At 41.3% G+C, this 14,498-nt stretch overlaps 1 annotated feature.

Moving 5' to 3' along the window:
• Positions 10,601–10,794: a silencer, noted in NCBI's record as "fragment chr10:32485087-32485280 (GRCh37/hg19 assembly coordinates)". NCBI's record gives its function as "represses an EF-1alpha promoter that drives an FKBP-Casp9 reporter gene in an ReSE screen in phorbol 12-myristate 13-acetate-treated (for megakaryocytic differentiation) K562 erythroleukemia cells {active_cell/tissue: K562(+PMA)}" and the evidence as "EXISTENCE:reporter gene assay evidence [ECO:0000049][PMID:32094911]".

Genomic DNA, 14,498 nt, shown 5'->3' with positions numbered 1-14,498 from the left:
GGGGGGTTGGAATTTCAACATCTGAATTTGGGGGAGACACAGACATTCACTCCATGATAGGAGATAAGCCATTGCCAATCATTAAAGTTTGAATTAGGACACTAGAGTATTTTATAGTTTGGTTACAAGGGAAGGAAGAAAGATGGATTCAAACATGGAAATCTGGGTTTCCATGAAGGGCTCACTGCAACTTGCAGTCAGAATGAGGACAAGAAACATCTGGGGTAGGACAAGGCCAAAAGCCAGAGGATGGCAAAGGACACTCACCTTGCATTGTTATGGTCCCTGGGGTATCCCTAGATGTGCAATGAGACAGGCCGGTATAATGTTTAAACCCTCTCCTCTTCCAAAAATCAGAGAATCTTGCTAATTTTTTTTTTTTTTAATTGAGACTGAGTCTCTCTCTGTTGCCCAGGCTGGGAGTGCAGTGGCACGATCTCCGCTCACTGCAAGTTCTGCCTCCCGGGTTCACGCCATTCTCCTGCCTCAGCCTCCCAAGTAGCTGGGACTACAGGCACCTGCCACCACGCCTGGCTAATTTTTTGAATTATTTTTAGTAGAGACGGGGTTTCACTGTGTTAGCCAGGATGGTCTCAATCTCCTAACCCTTGTGATCTGCCCGCCTCAGCCTCCTAAAGTGCTGGGATTACAGGCGTGAGCCACGGTGCCCAGCCATTGATATAGTCTTTACAGACTTATCCTATGCTATACTGATTATGTGCTTTTACCCTCTCTAAATATATACTACTTTTCCATGTCATTAAATTATTCTTTTATAACATAATGTTTAATAGTTGCTTGCATAAAAGTGCATTGCATGAATGTACCACAACTTCTTTACTGGTACTCTGACAGTAGATACTTAGAGAATACTTAAAGAGAGTTTAAATAAAGAGTTTCAAATATGAAAATAAAATGTGACATTTTAATATTTTCATTATATTTCAAGTCAACAAGTCCTTATTTGGGGAGAAAAAAATAAAATGTGGCCTCTGCCTTAGGAAAGCTAGAAAAAATATAATTGAGCAAAAGACTAGCTTTTTATCACAAATTCCATCAACTATGACTCGTTTAATGTAACATAACAGGAAGGCAATTTATAACAGAAGAAATAACACACCCAGAGCTGATTCCTGAGTAAGCCAGGCCTGAAAAACACCAAGATAAGAAGAAGAAGAAATATATATATCCCAAGTCCCATTTCATGGAATTCCTTTGATAAAACTTGGAATAAAATCCATAGTTTAATTGTTCCTGCAGGCTAATGGATGCTAAACTGCTCACATGCAATCCAATTTGTGTATGGAGCTGACTATGGTTTCCAGCATAGTCCAGCTCCGGTGGTCTGGAACGTAAAGTTAAGAACTTTATGGAAAAGTTCAAAATGTTGTGAATTGTTAAGAACACATATTTCAAAGTATTTTGGGGAGATATGTGAGTGTGTATGCATCCACCAAAACAGTGCAAAAGGCAACAGTTCCTCCCTTCCTGTAAGGTATCAAACCCTCACAATTGAAAAGACTGTAACTGGCCGGGTGTGGTGGCTCACACCTGTAATCCCAGCACTTTGGGAGGCTGAGGTGGGCGGATCACAAGGTCAGGAGATCAAGACCATCCTGGCTAACACGGTGAAACCCCGTCTCTACTAAAAAAATACAAAAAATTAGCTGGGTGTGGTGGCGGGCGCCTGTAGTCGCAGCTACTCGGGAGGCTGAGGCAGGAGAATGGTGTGAACCCAGGAGGCGGAACTTGCAGTGAGCAAGATTGCGCCACTGCACTCCAGCCTGGGTGACAGAGCGAGACTGTGTCTCAAAAAGAAAAAAAAAGAAAAGAAAATACTGTAACCAACATCATGTCAGAGTTGGAGGCCAGTGGCTAGGTCTTATGCTTCAATGTCTTTTCATTCTCAACCATGGAGTTTCCCCAGTGCACTCTTCAGGCCATTAGCTGCATATGCAAAAACAGATGTCCAAGGTCAAAACAGATTTCCAAGGTCAAAATGTTTCTTTGATGGACTGGGTTAAATAATTTTAAACAAATTTCCTTACTGCAGGACTATTCAGAGTCGTTAATAAGCTGTGTTGTTAGAAACATTCCAATACAGAATGCAGCCTTTCTAAAATTTCCTAAATTTTTTCAGTATGGAATGCTTCTTTCGTGGAACATATTGCAAAACAGAACCTGAGCTTGAGAAACACTGGCTTAGCACAAAAGTGTGGAAATTGGATGATATTATGGTGGTATTCATCTGGGGACTCAGGACACTGAGCATCTTTTTGTTTTGTTTTGTTTTTGAGGTGGAGTCTCACTCTGTCACCCAAGCTGGAGTGCAGTGGCACCATCTCAGCTCACTGCAACCTCCACCTCCCAGGTTCAAGCAATTCTTCTGCCTCATCCTCCCGAGTAGCTGGGATTACAGGCACATACCACCATGCCCAGCTAATTTTTTTGTATTTTTAGTAGAGACAGGATTTTCACCATGTTGGCCCAGGTGGTCTCCAACTCCTGACCTCAAGTGATCCACCTGCCTCGGCCTCCCAAAGTATTGGGATTACAATCATGAGCCACCATGCCTGGCCCTGAGCATCTTAATCGTGTTCTTGACAAGCCACCTTTCCCTATAAGTCCATTAAGGGAAAAACATGCCCAGAGGACAACAATGGTATATTAACATTCATCATTATTGAGATTTGACCTCAATCCAAACAGTGAAAGATAATAGATCATGTAAAGAATTCTTTGTGCCTAGATTAGGTCAAGTCTAGAGCCTAGTTAAAGGGCCTCCTCTCTGCTTTGCCTCATCTTTGATCTTCCCACTATGAAGATGAGAAAATGTTGACCCAAAAAGCAGAAGCAAAGGGAAAAACAAGAATATAATGCTTTCGCCATGCAAGGCTCTCTCAGGCACTGGCAGTTGCAATGTGGAACTGCATCCTTAGCCCTTCTGATCTCACCTGCCAAGGAAGTTCAAAGAGACAGTGAAGAAGAGTACCAGAGAAAAGAGAAGTGGCACCTAACCTGCCTCTTGGATGTAGGGCATTCCGAGCATTGGGCTTTCAGAAAGGAAGCCTCTTGCCAATCCATTCATTCATTCTGTCATTAAGGAGTCATTAAGGAGTGTCATTCATTCTGACATTAAGAAGTCATTCATTCTGTCATTAAGGAGTGTCATATACGGCACTCCTCCTGTATGCTAGACCCTAGTCCAGGTGTGAGGGACACCACAGAAAATGTCTCTGTCTCCAGGAAGCTTCTGGGGCATGATGAAGGGTGTCAAAGAGCAAAATTTCGAATTGAGTTTCAAAGACTGAATTGACTTTTATTAGTGATTCATGAACTGGGCAGCATACAGACAAATAGGAAGGAGCTCCAATGAGCTAAACAGAATGGGTGAGTTTTATAGGCAGAAAAAAGTAGAAGGAAGTGGGAACAGGGAACAAAGAGTACATTGGAGGCCAGGCACGGTGGCTCACGCCTGTAATCCCAGCACTTTGGGAGGCCAAGGCAGGCAGATAACCTGAGGTCAGAGAGTTTGAGACCAGCCTGGCCAACATGGTGAAACCCCATCTCTACTAAAAATATAAAAATTAGCCAGATGAGGTGACAGGTGCCTGTAATCCCAGCTACTTGGGAGGCTGAGGCAGGAGAATCACCTGAACCTGGGAGGTGGAGGTTGCAGTAAGCCAAGATCGTGCCACTGTACTCCAGCCTGGGTGACAGAGCCAGACTCCATCTCAAAAAAAAAAAAAGAGTGCATTGGTCGTTTCAAGGTTACTTTCCTACTAGGGATGTAAGCAAAATCTTGTTGGCTTAATGGGATTTAGCTATTGTCTCTCTCCTGATTTCTTGGAAGGCCAGATCTTACAAATAAACAACTTATGTTTCAATTTGGCAATGTGGAACTTCAGCACTACTGACTCCACTTTCGGCTGGCTGTTTTTTTCCTTAACAAGGTGGGAGACAGACACTAATCAAATCAACAAATAAATATATGTTGAGGATAATAAGTGTTACAAGGAAAAATAAAGCAGGAAAGTTTGTTTACTGTATCCTCAGTGACTGATAAATAGTAGATGTTCAATAAATGTTGTTACATCAGTCTAGAAAGAGTAGGAGGAAGGGAGAGATGGGAAGAGATTCATTAAAGGATACAAAATTACAGCTAGATAGGAAGAATAAGTAGTTCTAGTATTCTACATCATTGCAGATGACTATAGTTAATAATGTATTGTATAGTTTCAAGTAGCTAGAAGGAGGATATTGAAAGCTCCTTAGGCCGGGTGCAGTGGCTCACACCTGTAATCCCAGCACTTTGGGAGGCTGAGGCAGGTGGATCACGAGGTCAGGAGATCGAGACAATCCTGGCTAACACAGTGAAGCCCTGTCTCTACTAAAAATACAAAAAATTACTGGGCGTGGTGGCACGCACCTGTAGTCCCAGCTACTTGGGAGGCTGAGGCAGGAGAATCACTTGAATCTGGGAGGTAGAGGTTGAAGTGAGCTGAGATCACACCACTGCACTCCAACCTGGGCGACAGAGTGGGACTCTGTCTCAAAAAAAAAAATAAATAAATAAAGTTCCTGAAACAAATAACTGAAAATAGCTGATAAATGTTTGAGATGATGGATATGCTAATTATCCTGATCTGATCACTATAAATTCTATGTATGGAAACATCACTATGTACTCCATAAATATGTACAATTATACTTTGTCAATTAAAAACATAAAATTACCAAATGCAAAAAAGTTGCTAAATCAATGAATTACCCTCACTAGAATCTTAAAAGGTAGATATTATTATCTCTATTTTACATATTTAAAAAATTGAGATTCAAAAGGGATTAAGTAAGTTACCCAAAGTCACAGCTGATTGACAGGATGTAGATAACCTGAACCCAAATGTTCTGGCTCTAGAGCCCAAGATCAGAGCCACTGTGCTATTATTTATATCGCATCTCCTTGTCCTTATGAAGTTTACAGTCTAACTAAAGTTTAAAATGTAGGTTTGGGTTGGGCACGGTCGCTCACACCTGTAATCCTAGCACTTTGGGAGGCTGAGGTGGGTGAATTGTTTGAGCTCAGGAGTTCAAGACCAGGCTGGCAAACATGGTAAAACCCGTCTCTACTAAAAATACAATAATTAGCAGGGCATGGTGGCGCACGCCTGTAATCCCAGCTACTTGGGTGGCTGAGGCAGGAGAATTGCTTGAACCCTAGAGGCGGAGGCTGCAGTAAGCCGAGATTGTGCCACTGCACTCCAGCCTGGGCGACAGAGTGAGACACCGTCACACACAAAATATAAATAAATGAAATTTTTTAAAATGTAGGTTTGTTTTGATAGAAAATAATAATGGAGGCTGGGCGTGGTGGCTCACCCCTATAATCCTAGCACTTTGGAAGGCCAAGGCAGGAGGATCACTTGAGGTCAGTAGTTCAAGACCAGCCTGGCCAACATGGTGAAACCCTGTCTCTACTAAAATACAAAAATTAGCCAGGCATGATGGCAGGTGCTTGTAATCCCAGCTACTCAGGAGGCTGAGACAGGAGAATCGCTTGAACCCGGGAGATGGTGGTTGCAGTGAGCCAAGATAAAAAAAAATAATAATAAAAAAATAAAATAATGGAACCAGGCCAGGAAAGGTGGCTCACGCCTGCAATCCCAGCACTTTCAGAGGCTGAGGTAGGTGGATCACTTGAGGTCAGGAGTTCTAGACCAGCCTGGCCAACATGCTGAAACCCCATCTCTATTAAAATACAAAAATTAGCCAGATGTGATGGCAGGCACCTGTAATTCCCGCTACTCAGGAGGCTGAGGCAGGAGAATAACTTGAACCTGGGAGGTAGAGGTTGCAGTGATGGTACCACTGCACTCCAGCCTGGGCAAAAGAGTGAGACTCCATCTCAAAAAAAAAAAAATAATAATAATAGAAATAATGGAACCATCTTTAAAGCCTTGCAGAGTAAAGATTCAAGCATGTCTGTACAATGTCTGTTGGTGGAATGGAGTTGGGGCAGTATCCTTTAGAGATTTGAAGTTGCAAAATTGGAGAGATTAATGTTATGTGGCAATAACTCCAAAATTATTCAAGGGTGTTGTTACTAATTATAATTGGTATTTTTTAAAAATAATAAAACCTAAGGTTTTCCCAATTTGTCAGCTTCAAGCTCAACCTTCCAAACATGAAATTTTCACCTCATGTTAAAGATGAGAACATCAGTATAGAAGGATTATCACATCCAACTGCACACCAAGAGCAAAGCTGTTCTCTACTTGTGAATTCATATATTATAAAATGCCATTACCTCTACAGGGGTTCATTTCATATGTAAGTTTAGTCCTTTCCTGAAGTGACATCTCATTTTTCCTCCTTCCTTCCTTACCGGGAAAAATATGTCCCTCATCCTCCCCTCTTCTCTGTCCTTAGACCCTCTTCTACCTATGAAATTCCATCAAATATGCAACAATTTCTAACCCAGTGAGCTATGAGGAACTTACCTACACAAGTTCCCACAAGACATATTTTGTCCTTAGTCTTGCCTCACAGGCCAAAGGATGGGGCGCAAAGGGTGGAAATCAAAACTAAAGTGAAAATCTCACAGGAACTCATACTGTTGCAGCAACAAGACACAGTATGACAACTTAAAAGAGTGTTCTTTTAAAAAGAGAGAGAGAGGAGAGATGGCCCATGTGCCACCTCCCAATATGGCAGTGGTATGAGTGAAAGGAGACAACAGTATGTGAAAGCAAATGTGAGTTATTATTAATAAGTACCTGAAAAAACAGCCTGAGCATAGCACCGTGTGACTCTTACTTTCACTAAAAGCAGAATTTAAATTAAATGGCCACGTTGGTCAAATTTTTAAAATTTCTTGATTTAGACACCAGTGGAATAGCTATAAATGTTGAAACCCCATAACATAAGCTTTCAAAATAGATGTTTCCGCTTTTTGGCAAATAGAAATAAGCAGTTCCATCCCCCAGGCACTCGGGGGTACCTGGGTGATTGTTTGCCCAGGGAATGAGGAAATGGTCCCTGCTGGGTGGGGCTATCTCCCTGGGCCCTGGCTCTGTTCCTTTTTTTCTTGTTGTACTTCTTCTCCAGCAGGGCTAATTAATCTTTCATTTTTCCATAGCTAATGATTAATAATAAGTGCCCCATGCAAAAAGTACAAGGTCCTCAGCTAAAGGAAATCTTTCACCAAAATGCCATCAATGCACTTTGAAGTGTTAACCATCTCCCCTAACATCCTGTAACTTGATGTCATTGAATTAGCTCAATTTTTGAGTAACATATTTTGTGACTTTTCAGGTTTTACAGACTTTTATATTTTATTTATTTATTTATTTATTTATTTAGTTAGTTAGTTAGTTAGTTAGTTAGTAGAGACAGGGTCTCCCTATGTTCCCTGGGCTGGTCTTGAATTCCTGGCCTCAAGCAATCCTCCCTCCTCAGCCTCCCAAAGTGCTGGAATAACAGGCATGAGGCACTGTGCCCAGCAAGACTTGTATATTTTATAGATACAGGTCTCTAAAATATTTAGAGGGCTTGTATATTTAAAGAGCTTTATATTTTGAGAGCTGGTATATTTTGCCTCCGCTGGTGGGTAATTGCTATACCTGAAATGAAACCCATTAAGTGTTGAGTTAGGTACTGAAAGGGGCTCCAAGTCCCTTTTTGGAGTTTGCAGAGGCTGTCACAACTCCCACTGCCTCCTTCAGTCGAAATCCTGAGTCTCCTAGAGGCAGTGAGTGAGCATGTGTATGTGTGTGTGGTATTGGTCAGTTATTAGAGTTTAACAAGTAAGTGTTTGGGGTTAAACAGTGGAAAGATCACAGTATGGATAGTATGAAAAGCTATCTCTTGCTGGGTGGATTTTTGTTTGTTTGTTTGTATTTTTGAGACAGAGTCTCACTCTGCCACCCAGGCTGGAGTGCAGTGGCGCCATCTCGGCTTACTGCAACCTCTGCCTCCTGGGTCCAGGCGATTCTCCTGCCTCAGCTTCCTGAGTAGCTGGGATTACAGGTGCCCGCCACCATGCCCAGCTATTTTTTGTGTTTTTAGTAGAGATGGGGTTTGGCCATGTTGGCCAGGCTAGTCTCGAACTCCTGACCTCAAGTGATCCACCCGCCTCAGCCTCCCAAAGTGCTGGGATTACCAGTGTGAGACACTGTGCCCAGCCTGCTTGGTGGTTTGGAGCATGCCCCTTGGAGAATCTAGACCTTTAATTGAGACCTAATTCTGCCACTTAACCAGCTATGAACTTGAGCAAGCTACTTTATATATCTTTGCCTTCCTCCATTCCTTGTCTGTAAAATGAAAAGAATAATACCACCATCTTGGTAGGGCAACCAGGCAGAAGATCAATAATGAAATAGAGGAGCTGAATAACACTATAGGCCAAATGGACCTAACAGACATATACAAAACACTCCAATCAACAACAGCAGAGTACACATTTTTTTTAAACTGCAGATGGATCATTCTCCAGGATAGACCATATGTTAGGCGACAAGTTTTAATACATTTAAAAGAATTGAAATCATACAAAGTATCTTTTTTGTGTGTGTGAGATGGAGTCTCCCTCTGTTGCCCAGGCTGCAGTGCGGTAGTGCGATCTCGGCTAACTGCACCCTCCGCCTCCTGGGTCCAAACAATTCTCCTGCCTCAGCCTCCCAAGTAGCTGGGATAACAGGCACCTGCCATCACGCCCGGCTAATTTTTGTACTTTTAGTAGAGACTGGGTTTCACCATGTTGGCCAGGCTGGTCTCGAACTCCTGACCTCAAGTGATCCGCCTGCCTCGGCCTCCCAAAGTGCTGAGATTACAGGTGTGAGCCACCGTGCCCGGCCTCAAAGTATCTTTTTTCATCAAAATGAAAAATTAGAAATCAATAGCAGAAGGAAAAGTGGAAAATCCACAAATATGTGGAAATCAAACAACCAATGAATCAAAGAACAAATCACAGAGGAAATTAGAAAATATATGAGACAAAGCAGGGGGCGGTGGCTCATGCCTGTAATCCCAGCATTTTGGGAGGCTGAGATGGGTGGATCACTTGAGGTCAGTGACAGCAGGAGCATCGCCATCTTGGCATCTTGGACAAGCCACTCATTCTAAAGTTCACCTTAATAAAAAAATCACCTAAATCCAAGGGGCATCAGCCTAATGGCTATGGTCAACATGACCATAAACCACAGATAACATCTCCAACCAGAAACATTCCAAACTCCTCCCTGACCGGAGACATGCTAGCCCCTAAATTAGCCCCCTCCAGACAGGAAGATGCTAGCCCAGATAACCCCCCTCGGGCCAGAAAGATGTCTGCCCCAAAATAACCTCCCCTCCTCCCAGAGAGATTCCAGCCCCGTCATAAACTTCTCCACACACATAAACATTCCAAGCTTGTGATAACCCTAAAACCGATATGTACTCTTAGTCTGTAAGAGAAAGTGCTCCTGACCACAATCTGCCAGGAGTGTCTTCAGGTTTTGACTAAAGAAAACCTGTCTTTAACTGCCAGCGGCGTTTCAACTTTCTTTCCTCTTTCTTTAACTCTGACAGTCAGAAGTTTGAGACCAGCCTGGGCAACATGGTGAAACCCCGTCTTTATTAAAAATACAAAAATTAGCCAGTTGTGACGGTGCGTGCCTGTAATCCCAGCTACTCAGGAGGCTGAGGCAGGAGAATTGCTTGAACGCAGGAGGTGGAGGTTGCAGTGAGCTGAGATTGCACTCCAGCCTGGGTGACAGAGTACTCAGTCCAAAATTTATGAAATGCAGTGAAAGCAGTGCTAAGAGGGAAATTTATAGCTATAAACAAACTAGTAAAGAAGAAAGATCTCAAATCAACAACCTAACTTTATGCCATAAGGAAGTTGAAAAAAAATAAAAACAAACTAAGCCCAAAGCCAGCAGAAGAAAGGAAATAATAAAGATTAGAGCAGAGTTAAACAAAACAGGAATCGAAAAATAATAGAGAAAGTCAACAAAATCAGGAGTTGGTTTTTTGAAAAGAATAAAAAAATGGACAAACTTGTAGCTAAACTGAGGAAGTAAAAAAGAAGGAAGACTCAACTAAAATCAGAAGTGAAAGAGGGGACATTATTACTAATTTTACAGAAATAAAAATTATTATAAGGGAGTACTATGCACAATTATGCACCAGCAAATTGGATAATCCAGATAAAATGGACAAATTCCTAAAAACATATACCCTACCAAGACTGAATTATGAAGAAATAGAAAATCTGAACAGACCTAGAACTATAAAGAAGACTAAATCAGCAATATAAAACCTCCCAACAATTCACTGAAAAAAATCTTCCAAACATTTAAAGAAAAATTAACACCAATCTTTCTCAAACTCTTTCAAAAAAATGGAAGAAGAGAGAATAATTTTTAACTCACCCTGCGAGGCCAGCATTATCATGATACCAAAGCTAGACAAAGACACTCCAAGAAAAGAAATCACTGGGATGCAAAAATCTGCAAGAAAATACTAGCAAATAGAATTCAACAGCCCATTTAAAGAATTATACATTATGACCAAGTGGAATTTATCCTTGAATGGAAGGATGGCTCAAATCACAAAAATCAATCCATGTATTAATAATACACCATAGGCCAGAAGCCGTGGCTCATGCCCATAATCCCAGTACTCTGGGAGGCTGAGGCGGGCAAATCACTTGAGGTCAGGAATTTGAGACCAGCCTGACCAACATGGTGAAACCTCGTCTCTACTAAAAATACAAAAATTAGCCAGGTGTGGTGCCACATTCCTGTAATCCCAGCTACTCGGGAGGCTGAGGCAGGAGAATCGCTTGAACCTGGTAGGCAGAGGTTGCAGTGAGCCACGATTGCTTGCCACTGCACTCCAGCCTGGGGGACAGAGCAAGACTCTGTCTCAAAATAATAATAATAATAATAATAATAATACACCATAAAAACAGATTGAAAAGGGAAACACGCATGATAATCTGTACTGATGCAGAAAAAACTCTTGACAAAATCCAACACCCTTTTATGATACAAAACACTGAACAAGTAGAAGGAAACTACCTCAACATAATAAAGGTCATATATGAAAAGCCCACAGCTAACATCATAGTCAATGGCTAAAGACTAAAAGCTTTTTCCCTGAGATCAGGAACAAGACAATTCTTTTTTTTTTTTTTTTTTTGAGACGGAGTCTTGCTCTGTCGCCCAGGCTGGAGTACAATGGCTCGATCTTGGCTCTTGGCTCACTGCAACCTCTGCCTCCCAGGTTCAAGTGATTTTCCTGCTTCAGCCTCCCTAGTAGCTGGGATTACAGACCCCTGCCACCATGCCCCACTAATTTTTGTATTTTTGTAGAGATGGGGTTTCATCATGTTGGCCAAGCTGATCTCGAACTCCTGACCTTAGGTGATCCACCTGCCTCGGCCTCCCAAAGTGCTGGGATTACAGGCATGAGCCACCGTGCTCGGCCAACAATTTCCACTCAACACAGTACTGGAGGGTCTAGGCAAAGCAATTACTCAAGAAAAACAAGTAAATGGCATCCATATTTGAAAGGAAGAAAAACATTATTTCTGTTCACAGATAATAAGACTTTACATTTAGAAAACCCTACATATAGGCCGGGCACGGTGGCTTACACCTATAATCCTAGCACTTTGGGAGGCCGAGGCGGGCAGATCACCTGAGGTCAGGAGTTCGAGACCAGCCTGACCAACATGGAGAAACCCTGTCTCTACTAAAAATACAAAATTAGCCGGGCGTGGTGGCTCATGCCTGTAATCCCAGCTACTCGGGAGGCTGAGGTGGGAGAATTGCTTGAACCTGGGAGGTGGAGGTTGCAGTGAGCTGAGATCGCGCCATTGCACTCCACCCTGGGCAACAAGAGCGAAACTCAAAAAAAAAAAAAAAAAGAAAACCCTAAATATTTCTGAAAATTATTAGAACTGATACATGAATGTAGCAAAGTTGCAGGATAAAAAATCAACATGCAAAGTCAGTTACATTTCTATATGCCAAGAATTAACAATCTGATAAGATAAATTTTAAAAACTATTTTATTTATTTATTTTTATTTTATTTATTTATTTATTTTTTTGAGACAGAGTCTCGCTCTGTTGCCAGGCTGGAATGCGGTAGCGCGATCTCAGCTCACTGCAACCTCCGCCTCCTGGGTTCAAGTGATTCTCCTGCCTCAGCCTCCAGAGTAGCTGGGATTACAGGCACGTGCCACCACGCCCAGCTAATTTTTGTATTTTTAGTAGAGACGGGGTTTCACCATGTTGGCCAGGATGGCCTTGATCTCTTGACCTCATGATCCACTTGCCTCAGCCTCCCAAAGTTTACAGGCTGTAATCCCAAAGGGATTACAGGTGTGAGCCACTGCACCTGGCCAAAACTATTTTATTTATAATAGTATCGAAGAGAATAAAATGCTTAGAATAAGCTTAATCAAGGAGACGAAAGACTTGTACAATAAAAACTATAAAACATTGGTGAATAAAATTAGGGCACAAATAAATAGAAAAAGGTCTCATGTCCATAGAATGTATGACTTACTGTTGTTAAGATGTTTATACTATGCAAAGCAATCCACAGGTTCAAATCCTATCCAAATCCCAATGATATTTTTTGCAGAAATAGAAAAATCCATACTAAAATTATAATTAATATGAAATCTCAAGGGACCCCAAATAGCCAAAACAGTCTTTTCCTTTTTTTGAGATGAAGTCTCACTCTGTCACCCAGGCTGGAGTGCAGTGGCACCATCTGGGCTCATTGCAACCTCCGCCTCCCAGTTTCAAGCAATTGCCCTGCCTCGGCCTCCTGAGTAGCTGAGATTACAGGTGTACACCACCATGCCCAGCTAATTTTTGTATTTTTAGTAGAGATGGGGTTTCACCATGTTGGGCAGGCTGGTCTCAAACTCCTGACCTCGTGATCCGCCTGCCTCGGCCTTCCAAAGTGCTGGGATTACAGGTGTGAGCCACCGCACCTGGCTGAAAACAATCTTAAAAAAGAACAAAGCTGGAGGACTCGCCCCCTCCTGATTTCAACAAAGCTACAATAATCAAAACAGTGTGGTACTGGCATTAAAAAAAAGACATATAGACCAATGGAATGGGGTAGACAGCCCCAAAATAAACCATTGCATATATGGTCAAATGATTTTCAACAAGGATGACAAGACCATTCAATGGAGAAAGGACAGTCTTTTCAAAAATTGATGTTGGGAAAACTGGATATCCACATACAAAAAAAATGAAGTAGGACTCATATACAAAATTAACTCAAAATAGATCAAAAACATAAATATAAGACCTAAAACTATAAAACTCTTAGAAGAAAACATACAAGAAAATCTTCATGACATAAGATCTGGCAGTGACTTTTTGGATATAACACCAACACACAGACAACAATAAAAAAGACATAAATTGGATTACATCAAAATTAAAAACTTATTTGAATCAAAGGACACTATCAACAGAGTGAAAAGCCAAAAACCCATGGAATGGGATAAAGCATTTGCAAATCATATATCTAATAAGGAGTTAATAGCTAGAATATATAAAGAACTCTCACAACTCAACAACAAAACAACCCAATTTAAAAATTGGCAAAGAACTTCAAAGAAGATACACAAATGGCCAATAAGCACATGAAAAGATGCTCAGTATTGCTAATCATTAGGGAAATCCAAAGCGAAACCACCTCATGAGATACCACCTCATACATATTAGAATGGCTGCTCTCAAAAACAAACAAACAAACAAAAATCACAAACACAAAAAGCAAAAAATAACAAGTGTTGGCAAGAAATGGTGAATGTGGAACCCTCCTACACTGCTGGTAAAAATGTAAAGTGGTGCGGCCACTGTGGAAAATCGCATGACGGCTCCTCAAAAAATTGAAAATAGAACTACCACATTATCTGGCAGTTTTCTTTCTGAGTATACACCCAAAATAATCAAAAGTAGGGCCTTGGAGAGATATTTGTATACCTATATTCATAGCACCATTATTCACAATAACCAAAAGGTAGAAGCAACCCAAATGTCCATTGATGGATGAGTAGATAAACAAATTGTGATATATACCTACCATGGAATATTATTCAGCCTTAAAAAGGAAGTACATTCTGACACATACTACAATGTGGATGAAATTTGAGGACATTATCCTATGTGAAATAAGCTACAGGACTAAGTGAAATAAGCTAGTCACAAAATACTGTATGATTCCACATATATGAGGTCCCTGGAGTAGACAAAGTCATAGAGACAGAAAGCAGAATGGTGATTTCCAGAGCCTGGGAAACTGAGGGAATCGAGCTGTTGTTTAATGGGTACAGAGTTTTAGTTTGGGAAGATGAAAATGTCTGGTGATGGACGGCAATGATGGTTGTACAACAATGTGAATGTACCTTAATGCCGCTTAAAATGGCTAAAATGGTAAGTTTTATGTTCATTATATTTTACCATAATTAAAAAAAAA

The sequence above is a fragment of the Homo sapiens genome, chromosome 10 (genome assembly GCF_000001405.40).
Source record: "Homo sapiens chromosome 10, GRCh38.p14 Primary Assembly".
Taxonomy (NCBI): Eukaryota; Metazoa; Chordata; class Mammalia; order Primates; family Hominidae; genus Homo; species Homo sapiens.
The sequence above is the reverse complement of the archived record's forward strand: the minus strand, read 5'-3'. Positions and strand labels throughout refer to the sequence as shown.